At 49.2% G+C, this 21,243-nt stretch overlaps 1 protein-coding gene and 1 long non-coding RNA gene across 4 annotated transcripts in view, besides 1 other annotated feature; one reads left to right on the top strand and one right to left on the bottom strand.

The window, feature by feature from the left end:
* NAV1 (neuron navigator 1) overlaps positions 1–21,243 on the bottom strand; it is a 287,843-nt gene that overhangs the window by 178,797 nt on the left and 87,803 nt on the right. For all 3 annotated transcript variants that reach the window (NM_001389617.1, NM_001389615.1, NM_001389616.1), the window contains one exon: positions 18,666–18,769. In NM_001389617.1, the coding sequence (NP_001376546.1) occupies positions 18,666–18,769 (104 nt within the window). The remainder of the gene's footprint in view (positions 1–18,665; positions 18,770–21,243) is intronic.
* LOC124904482 (uncharacterized) overlaps positions 189–21,243 on the top strand; it is a 48,139-nt gene continuing 27,084 nt past the window's right edge. Inside the window, exon 1 of the long non-coding RNA XR_007066789.1 lies at positions 189–17,814. This is a non-coding gene — a long non-coding RNA (uncharacterized LOC124904482). The remainder of the gene's footprint in view (positions 17,815–21,243) is intronic.
* Positions 19,235–19,736: an enhancer, noted in NCBI's record as "H3K4me1 hESC enhancer chr1:201597565-201598066 (GRCh37/hg19 assembly coordinates)". NCBI's record gives its function as "activates a minimal SCP1, AML or CMV promoter by ChIP-STARR-seq in primed H9 embryonic stem cells {active_cell/tissue: H9 hESC(primed)}" and the evidence as "EXISTENCE:reporter gene assay evidence [ECO:0000049][PMID:30033119]".

Below are 21,243 nucleotides of genomic sequence, written 5' to 3'. Positions count from 1 at the left end.
TCCGAGCAGAGGAAGGAGGGAAGGGGAAGGCGGGGAGCAAACAGGAGGAGGGGAGCGAGTGTGCGCACGGGGAGGGAGGTGGGGGAGAGATAGTGTGTCTATTTCTGGCTCGGGAGGGGGAGGTATCTGCGAGCGGAGCTCCAGGGGCGGATGAGTGGGGGGTAGGGGGAAATAAAGGAAAAGCAGTTTTTCTCCCAGCTTTCCGCGTAGAAGCGGGGCGGGTTCTTGGATTCTCGGAGGGCACGGGGACCCCCTGCCGTGTCCAGGATAAAGATCTGTTGAGGAGGTGTGGAGGTGCAGGTAAAAGAGACGGAGGGAGGGCGGCTCAGAATGCGGGAGGGAAAGTGGGCCCGTGGGCCTGAGAGAGATGTCGGGAGAGGGGTGGAGGAATGGTATCCAGGGTGCTCATTCCCCTCCCCCAACCCCAAACCGTCTTTGGTTTTCCCCCAGGAAACTCCCAGTCCCGCCCTACTTCAGTCTCTGAGGCTCAAGGTTGCCCTCCTGAGCCCAGGAGGTAGGGGATGGGGGTAGGACACGGGTGGCTTGGAGAGAAGGGGCCTAGCGTTGACTGGGGAGGGGGCTGAGGGCTTTGTAGGGGAAGGAGTAACTCTTGAGATCAGGAAACTGGGTTTCTATTCCAATTAGCAATGTGACCTTGTCAAAGTCATTGAACCCCTCTGGTTCTGTTTTCTTTTATAGTGGTTATAATACCAGCTTCACAGGTAGAAGGGCTTTGGAACTGTAAAGGCCTGTGTCAAACCTAGGGAATCAAGAGGAGGCTTTGCACTGGGTCCCTTGCCTGCCAGAGTTAAGCAGAGCAGCAGAGTGCTTTTAAAAGATGTTTCCCAAGCCCTTCTTCCTTTCCTCCTAACTGGACCCAGGGGACAGGGATGAGGTGGAGGGGGAACAAGAGCCAGATGGAGTAGTCTGCAGTTTGCCTAGGACTGTACCTCAGTAGAGGGGACACTGCCCATCCTCAAATGGCCTCCCAAGTCACAGCCAGGTTGCCTGAGCAAAAGGCTCTCAGGAGAAAGTGGAGGGGAATTCTCTGAAAGCAAAGCTTGCTCCAGGAGGGGTAGGCCCAGGTGGAGCCACACTCTAGGGATTATAAAGCCCTAAGAACTTTTTGCCAGAATGTCTAACCATCAGATTATCTCCCCACCCCAAACCCAACCTCCATCTCTCTAGCTCCTTTCCTCCCTTTCTCCTAGAATCTGAAGAACGCTGTGTGTGAGTCTCATGGTTCACACACTCTCCTAACACTAATCATCACCTGCTGCCTGGTGTGAAATGTATTTGTGTCTCTATCTGTCTCCCCCGCCAGCGCAGGATCTCTCCGGGTGTAGAACTGTGTCACTCAGCACCTTGCATGGAGCAGGTGTTGCAACTCTGTTGGTTAAATGGATTTGGAGGCCTGAGCACTGTACGCTGGGTTTGTACCCTGCATGACTCTTGGGTTCTGGTGTTATCTCAGGACTCTCTGCCTTCCAGATTGAGATGCCATAAAATCTGCCGTGACAGGGATCATAGCAGAAAGGATAAGTGGCACGAGAATATAGAGTTCTCAAGCAGAGAAGTGTTTGGTAAGAAGCATGGACTCTTGGCTGTCTTGGAGACATAGAAAAAAAGGTGGCGATTCTGTCCTTGAGGAACTCTGGACTCTTGTATTTCCTGTCTGGCAGGGAATACAAGGTAGACAATACAAGACTTGGGAAAATAATAATCCTGTCCCTGTGAAAAAAGCAATGTCACACACATCAACACATTCATCTCAGGTAGACGGACATGGGTGTATATATTCCAATTATAAGAATAACAAGAGGAGTGGAGGACAGGTTTACAAGAGGATTCTGTACCATCTGCAATGCACAATGCAGATTGGCTTCAGAGGCTTATGTCGAGCATTAGGAAACTCAGGGGTGGAACTAGGGTTCGTGGTTCCAGATAGGAAATGACAAGCAGTGAAGAACTGGTTAAAGGAATGTGAGTGGTATCATGCCAGAACTTGGCCAAGGCACAGAGAGTGCCCAAAGGATGAGGCCAATCATGGGACTTTCTTTTCTGGGCACACACGAAGTACCCATGCTTATGTCCAAACATGAGGTCCCAGCTCAAGCAAGGGATCAAGCCCCATCTTTGGTGCCAAATCTTTGAGTAAGCATGACCATGCTCTTCCTACCCCATCCTTCAGGGTACTTGTAATGAAGTCACAAGCCATCACTTCTACAGTCCTCATCCTTACTCATTGGTCATTCTCTAATTTATACAAGATGCCCCTAATTCAATCACATGAGAACCACACCTTTCCTAAAAATAGCAATTTGAGAATCCGACAACACCTATTCTCTGACTTACCAGGTTACAGTTGCTCTTACTTGCTGTCTCTATATCCTCTTTCTGCATGTAAATTCATCTTCTCCTTAGCAGACAAAGGGAAATTCACTGGCTACCATCCTGGCTGAGAAAGCTTATTTTCACTGTGACACATTCCACCCAGTGTATTCTGCTGTGAGCAAAACCTGGTGCCCTCTCCCATGGTTTAATTTGGTCCCTCATCTCTGACACCCATGTCTGTAGGTTAGTCCCTCTCAAATCCTTTTATTTTATTTTATTTTATTATTATTATAATTTAAGTTTTAGGGTACATGTGCACAAGGTGCAGGTTTGTTACATACATATACATGTGCCATGTTGGTGTGCTGCACCCATTAACTGGTCATTTAGCATTAGGTATATCTCCTAATGCTATCCCTCCCCCCTCCCCCCACCCCACAACAGTCCCCAGTGTGTGATGTTCCCCTTCCTGTGTCCATGTGTTCTCATTGTTCAATTCCCACCTGTGAGTGAGAACATGCGGTGTTTGGTTTTTTGTCCTTGCGATAGTTTGCTGAGAATGATGGTTTCCAGTTTCATCCATGTCCCTACAAAGGACATGAACTCATCATTTTTTATGGCTGCATAGTATTCCATGGTGTATATGTGCCACATCTTCTTGATCCAGTCTATCGTTGTTGGACATTTAGGTTGGTTCCAAGTCTTTGCTATTGTGAATAGTGCCGCTATAAACATACGTGTGCATGTGTCTTTATAGCAGCATGATTTATAATCCTTTGGGTATATACCCAGTAATGGGCTCTCAAATTCTTTAGAACTGCTGCGAAACATGATTCCATTTGTTGCTCTGTCCACTTGCATTTGCTTGTCACCTTATGCCCCCTCCCCAGGGCCAGATCTTCCTTCCTGCCTTCCTGGTTATCTTGCTGTCTCATTTGATCTGGTGTTTTGGCCTGGTCCCTTCCCCTGTCTTTATTCCTCTTTGTTCCTCTGTACCTTGTCTCATGCTCTCATGGGATATCCTATTCCCCAAATCCCAAGTCCTTTCCCTTCCTTCAATAAATGGCTCCTGAAATTCTGCTTCTTTTGAGAAGAGAAAAAAGTGTTGTCAATAAGAGAAGCCTCCTCCCTACCACCTAAACCTAGTGCTCCACACTCTGTCCTGCATGAAATGTCACCTGTCAGTTTATAAAATGGAAGACACCTTCTATGCACATCTCATGGGTTAATTCAGTGCCAATCCCCTTGAGTGCCAGTCTCTGTGCACTGTCATTCTTTAAAGGGTCTTGCTATGGCCAGGTGGTGGTCCCTTTAAATAGCCATCTTGGCATCCAGGAAGTTTCTGACACTCCCTAATGTGACCTCTCCCTCTATCTGGCTCTTTTTTGATTCTTTTCACATCCCATGAGTTTCCCACTATCCTCTACTGCAGTGGGAGCACTCTGCTGCTGTGGCAACAGCCATTCCAGCATCAGTTGATAAAACCAGTATGTGCAGAATGGTTCCTCGAGTGATTCCTAAAAAGAGAAGGACCTGCCCTGTCACATTATCTCCAAACCCAGCCCTGAGCCCCTCCCACTCGGCCATTTACCCCTTCTCTAGAATGACAGGCTTCAAATTGTCCTCTGAAGAGAGATTCTACCATCAATGATCAATGAAGAGGTTATGTGATGAGGGAGAGGCCTGGCTGGGCAGGCAGTGGGTGCTGGTGAAGTCAGTAACCAAGTTTCTAAAGGGGAGGTGCAGAAAGAGGCTGGTTTGGAACATGAAAGTCCCCAATCCTCAGCGCCCCAAAGACCAGCTCATCATCCCACTCCTCTTTCCAAAGTCATTGGTAGTTTCTGGAATGGCGATAGGATGAGTGATTTGACTACATCTGTTGACAGATAACTTAAAGCAATTTGAGGAATGAAGATGTAGGCATACAGCCAAGGAGACGCATGCTGTGTGATATCACATTCTCACACCCCTGTGATTAGAAACGGATGTAACCCAGGTGTCTGTGGGGGGTCTGGGGAATCTGTCAGTTGGGACTGTGTTAGGAGAACTGGGGGTCAGGGAGAGCCAAAGAGAGGAGAGGGTGGGAAGGCTGTCCCCAGCTCATTGACCTTGAAAGGTGACCTTGGGGCCTGGCTTGGTGGCTCATGCCTGTAATCCCAGCACTTTGGGAGGCTGAGGCAAGTGGATCATTTGAGGTCAGGAGTTCGAGACTAGCCTGGCCAACATGGTGGAACCCTGTTCCTATTAAAAATACAAAAATTAGCTGGGCGATAGTGGCACATGTCTGTAATTCCAGCTACTTGGGAGGAGAATCACTTAAGCCTGGGAGGCGGAGGTTGTGGTGAGCTGAGGTTGCACTACTGTGCCACAGAGTGAGACCCTGTCTCAAAAAAAAAGAAAAAAAAGAGAAAGAAGGAAGGAGGGAAGGGAAGGGAAGGGAGAGGAGAAAGGGAGAGGAAAAAGAAAGAAAGAAAGAAGAGAGGGAAGAAAGAAAGAAAGAAGAGAGGGAAGGGAAGAAAGAAAGAAAGAAAAAGAAAGAGAAGGAAGGGAAGAAAGAAAGAAAGAGAGGGAGGGAAGGAAGGAGGGAGGAAGGAAGGAAAGAAAGAAAGAAAAGGGAAGAGAAGGAAGGGAAGGAAGGAGGAAGGAAGGAAGAAAGAGAAGGAAGGGAAGAAAGGGAAGAAAGAGAGAGAGGAAGGAAGGAAGGGAAAGAAGGAAGGAAGGAAGAAAGAAAGAAAGAAAGAGAAAAAGAAAGAAAGAGAGAAAGAGGCCAGGCACGGTGGCTCACACCTGTAATCCCAGCACTTTGGGAGGCCAAGGCGGACGGATCACGAGGTCAGGAGATTGAGACCATCCTGGCTAACACGGTGAAACCCCTTCTCTACTAAAACAAACAAACAAAAAATTAGCTAGGTGTGGTGGTGGGCGCCTGTAGTCCCAGCTACTTGGGAGGCTGAGGCAGGAGAATGGCGTGAATCCGGGAGGTGGAGCCTGCAGTGAGCCGAGATGGCGCCACTGCACTCCAGCCTGGGCGACAGAGCAAGACTCCGAGAAAGAAAAGAAAAGAGAAGAGAAAAGAAAAGAAAAGAAGGAGGGAGGGAGGGAAGAAAGGAAGGAAGGGAAGAAAGAAAGAAAGAAAGAGAGAGAAGAAAGGGAAGAAAGAGAGGGAGGGAAGGAAGGGAAGGAAGGAGCGAGGGAGGAAGGAAGGAAGGAAAAGGAAAGGGAAGGAAGGTGGAAGGAAAGGAGGAAGGAAGAAAGAAAGAGAAGGAAGGGAAGAAAGGGAAAAAAGAAAGAAAGAAAGAAAGAAAGAAAGAAAAAAAGAAAGAAAGAGGCCGGGTGCGGTGGCTCACACCTGTAATCCCAGCACTTTGGGTGAATCACGAGGTCAGGAGATTGAGACCATTCTGGCTAACACGGTGAAACCCCGTCTGTACTAAAACAAACAAACAAACAAACAAAAAATTAGCTGGGTGTGGTGGCGGGCGACTGTAGTCCCAGCTACTTGGGAGGCTGAGGCAGGAGAATGGTGTGAACCCGGGAGGCGGAGCCTGCAGTGAGCCGAGATCGCGCCACTGCACTCCAGCCTGGGCGACAGACCAAGACTCCGAGAAAGAAAGGAAGAAAGGAGGGAAGGAAGAAAGGAAGAAAGGAGGGAAGGAAGGAAGGAAGGAAGGGAGGGGAGAGAGAAAGAAAAAGAAGGAAAGAAAGAAAGAGAGAAGAAAGGGAAGAAAGAAAGAGGAAGGGAAGGAAGGAGGGAGGGAGGGAGGAAGGAAAAAAAGAAAGAAAAGGGAAGGAAGGAAAGGAAGGAGGAAGGAAGAGAAAGAAAGAGAGAAGGAAGGGAATAAAGGGAAGAAAGAGAAAAAGAGAGAGAGAGAAAGGAAGGAAGGGAAGAAAAAGAGAAAGAAAGGAGGGAGGGAGGGAAGGAATGAAGGAAGGTGACCTTGGGAGAAGGGGAGATTTGCGGGAGGGAGAAGGGGGCACATGAGCCCATACTTGGCTTCCTCCAGGGTTAAGGGCAGAGCAGGGGAGGTTTTTCTTGATTTCTGGGACCACAGTCAGGATCTGGAGAGCAAGGGCTGGGAACCCAGCCACATGGCTCTTCAAGCCTAGCCCACTCACTCTGGACCAGCATGGAGTTGTCACTGCCCAACTCAGTGACAAGCATTTTCTATACGTTTTCTCTGCTTAGATGCCTACCATAAGGTCTCCTCATCACCTGCCTAGCAGATGCCAACACCCCTGCCTTTGTGGAAAGCCCTCTAGCCATTGTTCCCCACTTCTTTTTGTCCTTTTCTCCACCATGTCATTCCCTCATGTCATTCCAGCTATCAGCAGGGACTTTTTGAGCACCCAAAACATGGGACTTCTTAAGCAACCCAAAGCTTTACTTCCAGTGAGATGGGAGCCTTGGTAGGCTGGGAGCAGAGAGTGACATGACCTGGCTTCCCTCTTGAAAAGGCCACTTTGGCTGCTATTTGGGGAGCAAATTGCTGGGCTCAAGGGCAGAAGCAGTTGCAGTCACCCAAGTGAGAGATGATGGTGGCTTGGAACTGGGCGGTGACTGTGGTGGTAGTGAGAAGTGGTCAGGCTCTGCATATATTTTGAAGCTGTTAGAATTTGCTATTGGCCAAATGTGGGTGTGTGGGAAAGAGAGGAACCAAGAATGTCCCCCAAGGATTTGGGCCTGGACAGCTCTAAGATTGGAGTTGCCATCAAGCAAAATGGGAAGGCTTCAGGAGGAGCTGGTTTTGGAGGTAGAATTAGAGTCCTCTCTTCTCCCCGGCCCCGCTTGAGGCCAAATCCGCCTCCTCTAGGCCGCCTTCCCTGACTCTCCCCACGCAGTTCACTGCAGCCACTTTAATCATTTCCTAATGTTCAGGGCTGTCATTCGTCATTCACCTATTGGTGCTTCCCAAGGATTCATCTTCAGTTGAACTTTTTCTCAAAACCCATCCCAGCTCTGTGCACACAGTGGGCTCTCAAAAATATTTGGTGAATGACGATTGATTAAATGAATGAATGCGTGACTCGGAACAGATGTGTAGGGAATTGTAAACAGCAGTGACCTCTTAATACCCCGTGGCAAGACACAGTGCAGCTGGTGTGTGGAATGGAAGCCAAGCTTCTGGGATGGTGGCCCAGCAGCATCTTTTCTCCCTTCCCTGAAGCCCTGGGCCAGAGTGAGGCCAGTAGACCCTTGCCTTGCTCCTTTGAAGGAAGCTCCAGTTCTTCAGAGGAATGACCTTGGGGCATTCAGGGCTGAGACCCTCTTCTGCCCCTAAATCTCTGCTCTGTCCAGAGGCATGGGGATAGTTTCACCACACTTCTGGGAGACAGGGGGAAAAGTGGGCAAGGTATCCTCACAGCCCAGGCAGTAATCCCAGCTGGGACTTCAGCCCCATCCCCCACTCCCACTTGCTGAAAAAAAAGGAGACACTAGACACAGTGGTCCAATATGGATGCTCTGAGTGGCTCACACCTCCAGGACCTCATCCAGGAAGACTTCCTAGATTGGTCCATTAGCCCAGCCACTGCCTTTGCTTCTCCAGGGCATTGGTAGTTGAGATATTTCTGTGGACACTGCAGGTCCCCGGCTCACCCTCTCTGGCCCCAGAAGACTCCCTGAGTTCAGTGGTTGGGGATTTTTCCTCTGGGCTACAGATCAGGTGTGTGGGCTCCAGAGAGAGATTTATTGTCTTCCTGTCTATTGGGGAAAATGAGGCAGAGAAAACTAGAGGCTGGGAGTGGAGCCAGAGGTCATGGGCCTCGGTCTGCCCTCTAGCTCAACCGTCTCGGGGGAGCTTCCAGAAGGGTGGGAATGCCGAGAAATTCTAAGCTACAACTCACATTCCTTGGAGCTCACAGCTGCCTGGACACAAATTTCTACACCAACAGGGCAAGGATAGAGCAGGGATGAGCCTGCCCACCGTGTGAAAGGACAGGGTCGGAAATGAGGTCCCTTAGAAGGAAAACAAGTCACCTCTAGTCACACAAGTAAACAAGACCAGAGCCTGAAGCCCATGTCCCCAGCTGGAGGCCGGGGCCCCCCAAGCTGGGATGGGGACGGGGCACAGGCTCTCCCTTCAGAGGCAGGGTTCTCGGGGCTTTGTCGTCCTGGAGGGAGTGGAAACTGGTTGAAGGCTCTTGGGAGGGCCTGTTCCAGACGTGGGAGGGGAGGATAGGGGCTGGAATCCAAAAAACTGGCCCCTCCTTCAGCCAAGGGTTTCTCAGCTAGAAAGTCAGGGGGCTAGGGAGGTCTGACTCAGGGCTGGGCTTCTTCTTCTCAGGGCTGGACACTTGCTTCTCCCAAGTGTCCCGGCCCCCAGGCTAGAACACAGGACTTCTATTTCTCGTGACTGGTTTCTCAGCAGAGGAGCCCTGGCAGTGCACAACAAGGCACGGGGTTTCTCCTTCCCCTCCTTGGGGAGTGGGGTCCAGATCTCCAAGCATTGAGACCTTCCTTCTTTTAAAGCCAGAACTCCATGATGTCCTGCAGAGAAGCATATCTCTGACCTGATGACCTCGCTGGCTTCCCAGGAAAGGACAGTCCCCTGGCCTCTGCTATCTGGCTGCCTTAGAGGCCAGTGCTGGCCAACACGCAGTACTCAAGCCCTTCCCCACTCTGGCTTCACCTGCTGACAACTTTGACCTCTAATGCTTTCCTCTAAATGCCCCTGCTCCAGGCCTGACCCCACCCCTGCACCTTTGCTTTGCTCTGCCCTTTTCCTGAATGCCTTCTGTTATATGAATTCAAATCCAATTCTCCCCTCAAGGCCCAGCTTCAGAGCCACCTCCTCCAGGAGGCCTTATGACTACCCCATCGCACACCGCTCTGCCTTTCCTACCCACTGATTATAGTCAGGGGCTGGGTACCCACATTCTGCCTACTTATATCCCACGGAGATATCCTCTTCTGCCAGCTGAATTGTTAAGTGCCCTACATAGGTTAGTTAGTAAGGGCTCACTGATCCTTGCTGAACTGAAAGACAGGGGATCTTACAGTTACTAAGCACCTCCTATTGCCAGGGACCCTCTTAGACATGTAATGTTCATCATTTCATAAAAGCCTTTGAAGCAGGGGCTGTCATTATCTTCATTTTATAGAGACATACACTTGCCCAAGACCACACAGCAGGCTGCTGGTGGAATCAGAATTTGAATATAGGTCTGTGTGTGTTCCACATCTTCCCATAACTTCATGCTATTACCATGCAGCTATTTCTAGAGACTTGCTTAATATAATAACTGCATGTGATTCCAAGACATATAGAACCCCACAGCAGGAAAGTCTGGGATCCTGGCAGAGAAATGGGGACTGGGTATTAGAAGGGTGAGTGAAGAATGGGAAGGAGGGCCCTGACTCTCCTGCCTGTCCTGCTGAGGAGCTCCTGTAACCCAGACATCTGCTGCACCTGAAGTCTGCATGATCTAGGACTGCAGTCACATTAAGACTGCCCCACAGAATCCTGGGAGTGAGAATGTGGCAGAGGAGAATCCTTCAGACAGAGCTGGTGGTCTGTAGCAACACCAGTCGCTTCATAGCTCAGCCCCATGACCTATGTCCTGGGGTCTTGGTCCACTTTTAGTGGACCTGACAGTCCCAACAAGTCAGGGTCTTCTGAGGACTTCCCTAATGTCAAGCCTTGGGGGTTCTGGGTTGTCTTCTTGATTTGCTATGTGGCCTTAAGAGAATATATGCAGCTGGTCATCTAAGAAATTGGGTGGAGGGAGGAGCTAGAGAATCTCTGCTCCCTCTGCTCAGGGGCTTCTAGTAGGGAAAGGCAGAAGAACACCTAATCTAGGGTACTCTGTCTGAAACTGTACTCATTTAAAATCAGATCCCTGTGCTCCTCAGGCTAATAAAGAGCCCAGGATAAGAAGTCCAGATGTTTCCCACATGTGCTTTTCCTGTATGTTGCCATGGCAACTGTCCCATACACACCACTGGGGTGGATATTGCACACTGGGCCTCAGCAGAGCTCTGCACCACCCAGGTACATCGCCCTTAGACCATGACCCACCCAGATCAGTTGTCATGGCAACTGCAGGCCGGTGAGGGAAAACTCCAGGCAGGCAAAGGAAGGAGAGGGTAGGGTGTGTGCCTGTGGCTGTGCCCATGTGTTGGATGGGGACAAGCAAACTCCTTGTGTGAGCATGTGTCCTTCGGGATGGGCAAATCTAGAGTTTAATTTGACCTGTCCATGAAGAATTGGTTGTTTTAAGGTCATTAAATCACAACACTAAGAGGGACCTTGGAGATAGTCTTACTCTGTAATAAATCCTCTTAATTCACTGTGGGCCACACAAACCCAAAAACCTGATGAGGAAAAGCACAAGGCCCAAACCTGTGGTGACCTTGTCAACACAGTGATGACATCACTACCCTAGAACAGAACTTCTTAATCTATGTTCACAGACTGGATTCTGGAGGTCCACAGTACCAGCCATCAAACATAAGCCAAATACTGTGAATATGTCCATTTATCTGGGGGGATATATTGTAATATCAGTCAAATTCTTAAAGAGATTCCTGACTCTAAAAAAGTAAAGACAACTGCGAAAGTAATGAGAAGCTTTTACCCATCTTAGTCTGAACCAGCTGGGACAGATGGTTTAAAGAAACCTGGCCTTCTTACTACCCTAGAGAGAAAGATATTCCCATTTTGTGGCTGCACTCATTTTCTCAGTTGGTACTTCTGTGCTTTATTAGAGTTTTGTTAGGTTTTTGAATGAGGTATTAAACCTCACAGAGGAATGCCATGGACTCATATTTCAATGAATTTTAATAGAATAATCACTGGCAATTACTTGGCATATAAAAATTGCTCTGCAAATGTTAAGAGTATTCATTGGCGTGATAGGTGGGAGTTCCAATGCCATGATGAGAACGTTGCCTTTCACAGGGCCTGATGTCATCACAAGGGGCTTGCCACCTCTGTGCTCCCTCCTGCCTGCATGCAACCTCAGATTCTTCAGCAGGAAGGATGCTGTGAGCTCATGAGGTCAGCTTTTGCCCCTGGACTGTGCCAGTGTTTATATGAACCTCAGGCTGTTCTCCTTCCACTTCCACTGGGGCTGAGCTTTCCTCCTGCCAGGAAGTTCTCTTATTTATCTGACCTCAGTCATTCATACCACAGGACACTCTCATTTCCTTCTCCTGGAAGGATTTTCTTGAGAGAAGGGACAACTGAGCATTTCTCCGCTCTCCCCTCCTCCCTGGGCTCATCTGGTCTCACGTGGATGACTCCACACTTGCTGAACCTTCCTATGTCCTGACCTTTAATTATCTTCAGCTCCCTCTGAAGCCTGGGACTCCCACCACCCAGGAAGGCAAGTTTTTTATTCCTTCCGCCCTTTTAAAGGATGAATATTGTGGCTGGGGTAATTCTCAGCACTTAATCTCTCTGGCTATTGTGTCTGTGTCACCTCTCTCTTCAACTGCCTCTCTCCAGAGCTCCTTCTGTGTAAGCCTGCCCGCAGCCTTATAGTGGGGAGGGAAGTCTCTCACCAGGGGACCCTAATCCTCTTACAAAGGGGTTTGGGGGGTCTTGGGATGGTGTGTTCCAGTTTCTGCCCATTCAGTGGTGCTGGAGGGAGACTTCAGCCTTGGCCAAGACTGGCATGGAGCCAGCACTTCTTGAGATAAAGCCCCCTCTGCAGGCTCTCTGTCTGCCCTGGGCCTTCCCAGGGAGACAATAGTTCAGAGTTATAAGGAGGGCTGGCCAATCTCTGCCCAGGCATGGGGCAAAGATCTGAGGGGCCAGATCTTCAGAGCTGCACTGGAGGTGAGGCTTACCTGGATTGGCCAGAGAAGTAGGGAGCAGCAGTGGTGGAAGTTTAGCAAATAGTTCCGCCTCCCATAGCTGAAACTTGTAACTGCTCCACAGCTCCCTGGATAACAACCTCTAAAGCTGTATGGAGCAGTCTGAGCTGGAGAGATTCCTGTCAACCAGGCCACCTCTCCTTCAGTGTCCTTTTTCCCAGAACCTGTCCATGGCTCATAGACACATGGAGAACTAAACAAGGGGTTGGGATTTCCTAGGAGGAGCTGAAGCAGATCGCTGCAGGTTGGAGAGTGGAGTCTCTAAAAATCTGCTAAGAGGCTGCCAAGTCAAGGACAGGTAGGTATTGGGTATAGGGGGTAATTCTCTAGGAAAACTACAGGGGAAAGTTTATCACCTTCCTCATCTATTCAAGCACTCAGGGCGAAGGGGGGTGGCCCACAGACTGCTGTTGCTTATAGTCCCAGGAATGTCATGAGGCCAAAGCTCTGCTCCTGCTCCTTAGGGTGGGAGACATATTCCAGAGCTGGGGCTTCTCCAGGGCCACCATGTAGATCACGTACAGCTGCACAGGTTGTACACTGCACAGCTCTAGGCTACATCATAAAGGGCCCACAAGTGTAGAAGTCTTTGCCTATTTTGTCCACAAATGTATTCCAAGCTTCTAGAATAACACCTGGAACACAGTAAGTGCTTTATAAAAAATTGGCAAATGGGTTGGGTGCAATGGCTCACGCCTGTAATCCTGGCACTTTGGGAGGCTGAGGCGGGCAGATCGCGAGGTCAGGAGATTGAAACCATCCTGGCTAACACAGTGAAACCCCGTCTCTACTAAAAATACAAAAAAAAAAAAGATAGCCAGGTGTGGTGGTGGACGTCTGTAGTCCCAGCTACTTGGGAGGGTTAGGTAGGAGAATGGCATCAACCCAGGAGGCGGAGCTTGCAGTGAGCTGAGATCGTGCCACTGCACTCCAGCCTGGGTGACAGAGTGAGACTCTGTCTCAAAAAAACAAAAAACAAAACAAAACAAAACAAAAATTGTCAATTGGATATGAATTTCCTCTGGAGTTGGGCAATGCAGAGGTCCTGGTTTTCTTGGTGCAGCGAGAAACAGGGAAGCTGGGTCTTGCCAAGATTTCTTGATTTCTGGGACCACAATCAGGATCTGGAGAGCAAGGGATTTGTACTATATGTGGAGCACTCATAGTTGCAAAAACCACGTAGAATCACTCACACACCTTTTAGAGTGGGAGGGCCTGAGTCCAAGGTAGCCACGGGGAAAAGAGGCTCCAAGCTGACCAGCTTCTGCTATTCTTGCCACTCCACTGAAATGGCTAACATTGGGTCAAATCCACTGCCTTGAGATAAATCCCCTTCCCAGCCAAATATTGTCTTGAAAAGTCAATCTCCTCCCTCCTCCTGTACTCCTCTAAAGAAATAGCATCCAGACTCCTACAGTTTCTATTTCAAACCCCTCCAGCAGGTACCTCGGATGACCTTACTTATCTGGCCTCTTCCTTCATAGCCCCTCCCAGAGCCAGGCTGGTGATCCCACTGCCTCTCCTGGCCTCCCTGGGAGAACTCCCAGACTTGAGTCATCTTCCCCTCCAGTGAGGTCATAGAACGTATGGTTAAGAGCATGACCTCTGAAGACCAGCTGCATGGGTTCAAATCCTGGCTAGACCACCTTGGGCAAGCCACTTAACCTGTCTATCCCAGTTTCCTCATCTGCAAAGTGGGTGTGATAATAACATCACTTGCCTCAATAACAAATAACACCAAACACATATTGAGCAGTTCTTATGTATCAGCCATTCTTCTAAGCGCTTTACCAATATCCATGCATTTAATTCTCACAAAACCCTATGAGGAAAGCACTGTTATCATCCCTGGTTACAACCAAGGACACAGGGGCACAGACAGACTAAATAAGTTCCCCAAGGCTGCATAGCTAGCAAGTGAGGAAGCTGTGATGCAAGGCAAGTAGGGAGTTAGATTCCAAACCTCATGCAGTTGTTAGAAGGATTAAAGGTGCTTATAACAATGCCTGGTTCACAGTAAGCCACGGTAAGTGTCGGCTGCTGCTACAAGTGCTATTATGACCTCCCGTCCCAGTTCCTGGAAGCCTACCAGGTCCTAGATTGCTGCTTTGTTTATCCAACAGAGTCTCCAGAGACCCTCGCACTCCCAAGCCACCTCTGCCCCACAACAGCACCAACCTGCTCAAGCTCTGAGAACACGGCTAATATCATCTGCCCCTGAACTGTTTCTACTTTCTAGTCAATTGTCTGCATGTCTTCTCTCCACAGATGACTGGGACATAAGGCTCATCTTGGCCTGGAGGTCCCCAGAGGGCAAAGAACACAGCAGTGTGAACTCAGCATGAAATGACATAGGTTTGGAGTGACAGGGATGCCAGTGGCATCCTGGGACCTGCTCAGATTGAGGGAGATGTGAGCAGGGACTGTGGCTCACTGATCCCATTTCCTTCCTCATTGCTTGGCAGAGGCTAAGGGAGACTGAGTTGAGCTTGGACAGTGTGCGACTGAGTGAGTACTGGCGGCAGTTGGGAAGGCAGGGAGTAAGAGAAGAGTGTGGCCTTTTGACAAGCCTGGGATGGAATCCTGGCACAGCCTCCTAGCTGGATGTCCTCAGACAGGTTTTATATAACCCTTCTGAGCCTGAGTTTCCTATCCATAACACAGAGTAATAATAACACCTTCAAAGGATTATATAAGGTATTCATGAAGGACTTTATGTAAAGCACTTGGCACTATGCCCTGCACATAGTAGGGTATTCAATAAGTGATAGTCATTATTACCATTTAGTTCTTTTTAGTGTTTAAGGAGTCAGAAAGCAGTGGTCCTGGTTTAGTTCACCTGCTAACTTCCTATGCAGTCCTGAGCAAGTCACTTCTCTTCTCTGAGTCTCATCTCTCCCTCATTGAAAAGGAGGCCAAATTTGGGAGATCTATAAAGTTTGTTAGAGCTTTGACTTCCTATGTTCTTTGATGCAAGTCATTTGTAGTCCAGGAATACTTGGATTTGGTTTGAAACCCCCAGAACAAACTTCTCTCCCAGAGAGTAGTTACCATTCCTTGCTCCTGCCCCAGGCACACTAGCTTTGCAAGTTCTCTTAGAATGAATACTCTATTCCTGCTCTATTTCAAATCCATAAGGCATGAAAAACTTCACTGTGGCTTAAAGATGGAGCCAGCTCAACAAGGGAGAAGAAAGAGGAAGAAAAGCAAAACAGCCCTAGTATGAGGCCAAACTCCACACTGCCCCACCCATTCTCTCTATATATCAACCCTCGTGTGAGAAGGAGGCAGGGAGGAGGCTCTGGCTTTTTCCTGATAACACGTACTATGATGAGAAAAAGATCCCTTCATTGTGGGTCCACTTAGTGCTCATTCAAACATGCCACAAAGTGGAAGTCATTAAAGAATCTGCATAAGCCTTGGGGCAACCTTTCCCAGTCCTCCTGCACACAGCCTCACACATGTGGGCACGCGGTAACGTCAGCCTTGGCTTCTCTTGGCTGTCCAAATTAAGATCTGATGGTGGTCTATACACTACCCAGTGCTGACTGCAACCAAAGGGAGAGTCAGCAGATGGGACCAGTGCTGGGCTGTCACCAACAGAATCAGATGGGCCAGGGAGGGTCAGGGCACATGTACAAACATCAGTGGGCTGGGCATTTCCACACTTGCCCCAGGGCAGAGGCAGAAGGAGCAGCTGCTGGTGGATGGCCTTCAGGATATATGAAGAACATCCCCAGTGCCCCAGGTTGGAGGCAAGTCATCATGGGAAATTCTCCTGCTATATAAATACTAGAAAGCCTTGTTTGGACTCTATGCCCAGAGTCCAAGCAGATTAAGAAAGTGGCACAAGGCTGAGAAAGCTCTTTGGCCTTCTCCTGCTCCGCTCAAAGACTCTGCACTCACCCCCCAAACCCATTCAGTGAGCTTGGAAGACAGAGAGAAGCACATTGGGAAAGGAGCAGAGAAAGACTGGTTGGTCTTTCTCAGCTGGTAGAGAAGAAACAGGCTGATAGAGGACAAATTTTAGAGCTCTACAACCACTTACATTGGATTCCTTACTCATTCATTCAAATCATACCTTCACCAAACCCTGACCGCCAGGCACTGTGCTAGGTGATGGGGGGCAAGATGAGTTCATGGTCAGGAAGGGAAGATACATGAGCTTCAAAAAAAAGCCCCCAAACCCCCAGCCATCTACAAATTGATATGGAAATAACATGATCAATAACTGTCAAATAACTATGCTGGATTCTGTGAATTATATAAATATTTGATGGAGTACTCTCCAAAGCACCCAATTATCCTTCTATAAATGGGATAATAAGCTCAGTGCCCTCCTTATGCCATGGGGCCTAGCGAGGGAGGCAGGACTGACTGGCTGCCTTGTCAACCCCTATAGGGGCAGGTCACTGGGCACAGCTTCTGGGATCCCAACAAATTCTCTAGATAAGTCTCACTGGAGTGAATCCCTGGGCTGTGAACATCTTGAAGGCAGGTCAAAGTCTTATTTGTCTTTTACCCCAGTGTCAAGCACAGTGTTCAGCACAAGGCAAACACTCACTGATGGTTTGTAGATTGAATGAAAGAATACATGAATGAATGAGTCATGTCATGCCCCAAGTGACTTTGGGAGTGAGAGGGCAAGGCATAAAATGAAATCCTTCAGTTGCCTCCTCTCTTCCTCTCTTCTCTGTTTTCTTCAAGCTCAGAAGAGCGCAGGCTCTTCCACAAGGCAGGCAAATCCGAAATCTCTCTCCCCATCCAACCCATCAAAGAGCTCGGCGTATCCTCGGCAGAGATGGGTCACCATGACAACTAGCTAGCACCAGAGCAGAGGCAGTGCAGTGAACCCTGCTCCTCTTCCCTAGGAGCCTTGGAGAAAGCCAGTGTTTCTCACTTTTCTGGTAAAACCCTCCTCCAAATGTTCCCCGGCACTCTGTCCCCCCAGAGGTACCCAACCGTGATCTAGCAGACAGTTTCACATCTAACCAGTGAGGGTGGTCTTCCAGCTGACAAGCCTGGGGGATTCCTAATGCTAGTCTGCAACAGACGTTAAAAGTAAAAGACCTCTCATCAACTCATCGGATAATAATCGTGAACGAGCGCTGGGTTAGGTGCATGGAGATCATTAGGCTCTAACAATGTGGCATCCACATGAGGAAGCCATTACACTAACAAAACTGCAAATGTAAAAATAGAGCTCCACATAGTTTCCTGGTTACCACATTCTAATTCTGATGGCTTTTCGGTGCCAGAGAAATTTGGTTTCCTTTTGTCCCCTGCCATGCCCTGGTTCTCTTGCATGTATATTTATTGTGGAAGGAGATGGCTTGCTTTGCAAATGCTGAGTCCTTAACCCATAACCCTCCTCCACAAGGCTTGTCATGGAAGAATGAGTGTTGCTGCTCTGTTTTTAGGGTTGCAGTGGCTCCAAGATCACTGCTATAGACCAGGCCTAGAAAGGGCTCAAAAGGTCCCAGCTCCCAGGCCAAGAAGGGATATCTGGCCACCTGCCCAGCAGGGCACAGAGAAGACAGAAGCAGTATACCATCCTGTCCGGTGATCTCAGGGTCAGGCTGTGTTCTAAGCCCCAGCTTGGCCCGCTGGAGCAGGGCACCAAGACAAAGCTGGGAGACAAGCCCTCTGGACAATCTCAGGTTTGTGAAAAGGAAATTTATTACTTTGTTGAGGCAAGTTTCCCTTTGTCTGGGAAAGTAAAGGATTGACCTGGTTCCCTGCAGTGTGCAGCCTCATGTACCCCTGGTGTGAATCATAGCCATCCTCTAGATACTTTTTTAATGTTGTAGGAAAATCAGCACACGTCCGTAAGTGCTGCTGAGTTTTGAATCTGACCCACTTAGGGCCTGACCTATGGTACCCAAGACACTCACTCATCCATGCATCATTCATTTATTCAGAGACACTGAGCACCTGAAGATGCATCTGAGACTGTCAGGGTCTCTGCCCTTATTGAATATTGCTGTATTTGAAATTTAGGGATCTTCCTGGTGAATCTCACATGCCTGAGCCTCAGGTGATATCTCATGACTACAGGATGACACGGGGAAGGGGACATGTGTGGGAGTGGCCTGTTAAAAGTGGTCCTGGAAGGGGAAGTGTTGTCAGGCAGCAAGCCAGATGGCTCTGGCCTGCCTCCCTAATTCCAGCACCTTCATTTTTCAACCTGGGCACCACTCAGAACCTGGCTCTCACTCCCAGCTTGTTACCTTTGTGTCAGGACTTCTCACATGACACACACATGCAGTGACTCCCATAGCCTGGGCATCCCCTGGCCACTTCCCTATGCTGCCCCTAAAAGGCTCCTGGGTTTGATGGACCAACCCTGGGTTGAGTCAAGCATGATGAAAACTCAAAGTGCAATTCACAGGTTGATGTCTCCTTGTCAAGAGATGGACCCATCCAGCCTAGGTCACTTCTTCTTCCATCTAGGCAGCTCTAGCACAGTGGCCTCCCGACCCTAGGAGGAAGTCTCCCCCAGATCACTTACCCATGCAGGAGAAGCTCTCCTCAGTCTCATGGAGGGGCTCAGCATAGCCATCAAGGGGCCAGCTGCCCTGGGAGAGGGGGCCAGGTTTCTGGTCAGTTTGCAACCTGTGGGACCAAGAAAGGGTAGTCACTCATGGTAGAGATGTCCTGGTCTCTAAGCCCCTCCATGGGGCTAAGAAAACCCTCTTAGAACTTGGTTCTTCTTCTCTGATAGTGCCCTGCACCACTCAGGGCCAGCCCCTCCCTGATGGGTATGTGCACATGCCTGCCCTCCAGCAGGCAGCAGGCCTTCTGTGCAAAGCTGCGCCAGGCAGGGAGCCCCAGAGGATACTGGGATGCCCGATGCTTGTCACCCCTTGACATTCTACAGTCTACCCATTTCCCAGGAACGTTATCACTTATAGGGCAGAGGGATACCCTAGCAACTCCAGGCCTTGGGTCCTTTGTCTTGCCAGGATCCTTGCCCTCAGGATGAGCATGTATGTACAGCCATGTACATATACACAGGGAAGAGCTCCCTCTGAAGCTGAAGTCACTGATTCCTGGTAGCTCAGGGGGCACACAGGCTTTGGGCTTGCTCGTAGTCCAGGCAGCTTGTAGGTCAGGAAAGAAGGAGGAGTAGGCTCAGCTGCAATCACAGTGACTCCCGGGAGGACAGGTCTCTTGCTGGGCCCGTTGTGGTAGCAGGAAGGAAGGGTGAGGTCTCTGGGCACCAGCTCCCAAGTGCACACAGACCTCTGAGCACAACCTCAACCGTACAGTTGCTCCCAGGAACAAAGGCTGTGGGAGCTTTCATTATAGGCAATTACCCTAGGCTCTGGGAGCTGGCCCGCCCACCCATCCGCCCGCTGTCTCCAGCTAAATGGAGACTTTGGCAGCTTGGCAGGAGGGGGAGGGGAGGGCTGTGCAGGCAGGAGGGGAAATTGAAGGGCTGGGCCATGGAACCCTGAGAGTCTCCAGTGCCACTGAGATTTGTCTTTCTCTCTCTCCAGTTTTCACTTTTTTCAATGCCTAGATGGCCGGGACTCTGGGCTCAATTTTGCCATTAACTCACTGTATAACCTGGAGTAGATCTCTTCTCCTCTCTGGGTCCGGCTTCCATCATGGGGTGAAAAGATGCCCCTCAAGGCTGGGATCTGTTTTACAGTCTAGGGTTGTGAGGTGTTTGCTGCTTCTGCTCAGCTTTTTCTAAGCTATTTAGGCAGTGCTGAGCTCTTTTGTATCTCAGGCCCCTCAGGTGAATGATGGGGATAGTGCAGGGTGGGGTGTCGTTAGAGAAAGCAGGAGGCCTCATCCTGGCCCCTGGGGGTGCTTGGTATGATGGGGACAATCGCCATGTACTACTGTCTCTCTTTTTTTTTTTTTTTTTTGACACAGGGTCTCACTGTGTCACTCAGGCTGGAGCACAGTGGTATGATCAAGGCTCACTACAGCCTTGATTTCCTGAGCTTAAATGATCCTCCCACCTCAGCCTCTCAAGTAGCTGGGATTACAGGCTCAAGCTACCACGCCTAGCTGATTTTCATATTTTTTGTAGAGATGGGGTTTTGCCATGTCGCCCAGGCTGGTCTCGAACTCCTGAGCTCGAGATCTGCCCACCTCAGCCTCTCAAAGTGCTGGAATTACAGGTGTGAGCCACTGCACCAGGCTCTTATTGTCAATTAAATGTCTGTCCAAGTACACAAGTGCCAAGGGGATAAAGAAAGACTGGGGTTGGTTGGTTTCTTGGAAGAAATTAGAATGGACCTGGGATTTTGAAGTAGGGGATGCAACATATTGGTGAGAAAGTAACAGAAAATTCTACTGGGGAGAGGGAATTCTATATAATGTGTCAACTGTTTCATTGATTAACATCATATATGTAAAGAGCTAAGCACAGCGTCTGGGCCAGAGCAGGTATGCAATAACCAGTGTTAAAAATAAGAATAGGCAGACGGGTGCAGTGGCTCATTTCTATAATCCCAGTACTTAGGGTGGGGGGGCCGGGGCGGATGGATCACTTGAAGTCAGGAGTTTGAGACCAGCCTGGCAAACATGGCGAAACCCCGCCTCTACTAAAAATACAAAAATTAGCCAGGCTTGGTGGTGCATGCCTGTAATCTCAGCTACTCGGGAGGCTGAGGCAGGAGGATCGCTTGAACCAGGGAGGTGGATGTTGCAGTGAGCCGAGATCGTGCTACTGCACTCCAGCCTGGGCGACAGAGTGAGACTCCATTTCAAAAAAAAAAAGAAAAAGAAAAATAGGAATAGGCCAGGGTGGTGGCTCACAACTGTTAATCCCAGAGCTTTGGAAGGCCGAGGCAGGAGAATTGTTTGAGCCCAAAAGTTTGAGGTTACAGTGAGCTATGACTGTGCCACTGCACCCCAGCCTGGGGAACAAAGCAAGAATCTGTCTCCAGTAAATAAATTAAAGACTAAAAACAAAAAAAGAAATAGTTACAGTCACGATTGTTGCTGCCATTAATATGATGCAAGAGTGGGTGAGGTTACATCAGTCATATGGGCCAGAAACTCCAATGGCAGAAACATTGAGGAAGGCAGGCTTTATCTCTAATTTCAGTCAGCTCTGTATTTTTATC

Source organism: Homo sapiens, chromosome 1 (genome assembly GCF_000001405.40).
Source record: "Homo sapiens chromosome 1, GRCh38.p14 Primary Assembly".
Classification (NCBI taxonomy): Eukaryota; Metazoa; Chordata; class Mammalia; order Primates; family Hominidae; genus Homo; species Homo sapiens.
This window is presented reverse-complemented; position numbering and strand designations above follow the sequence as displayed.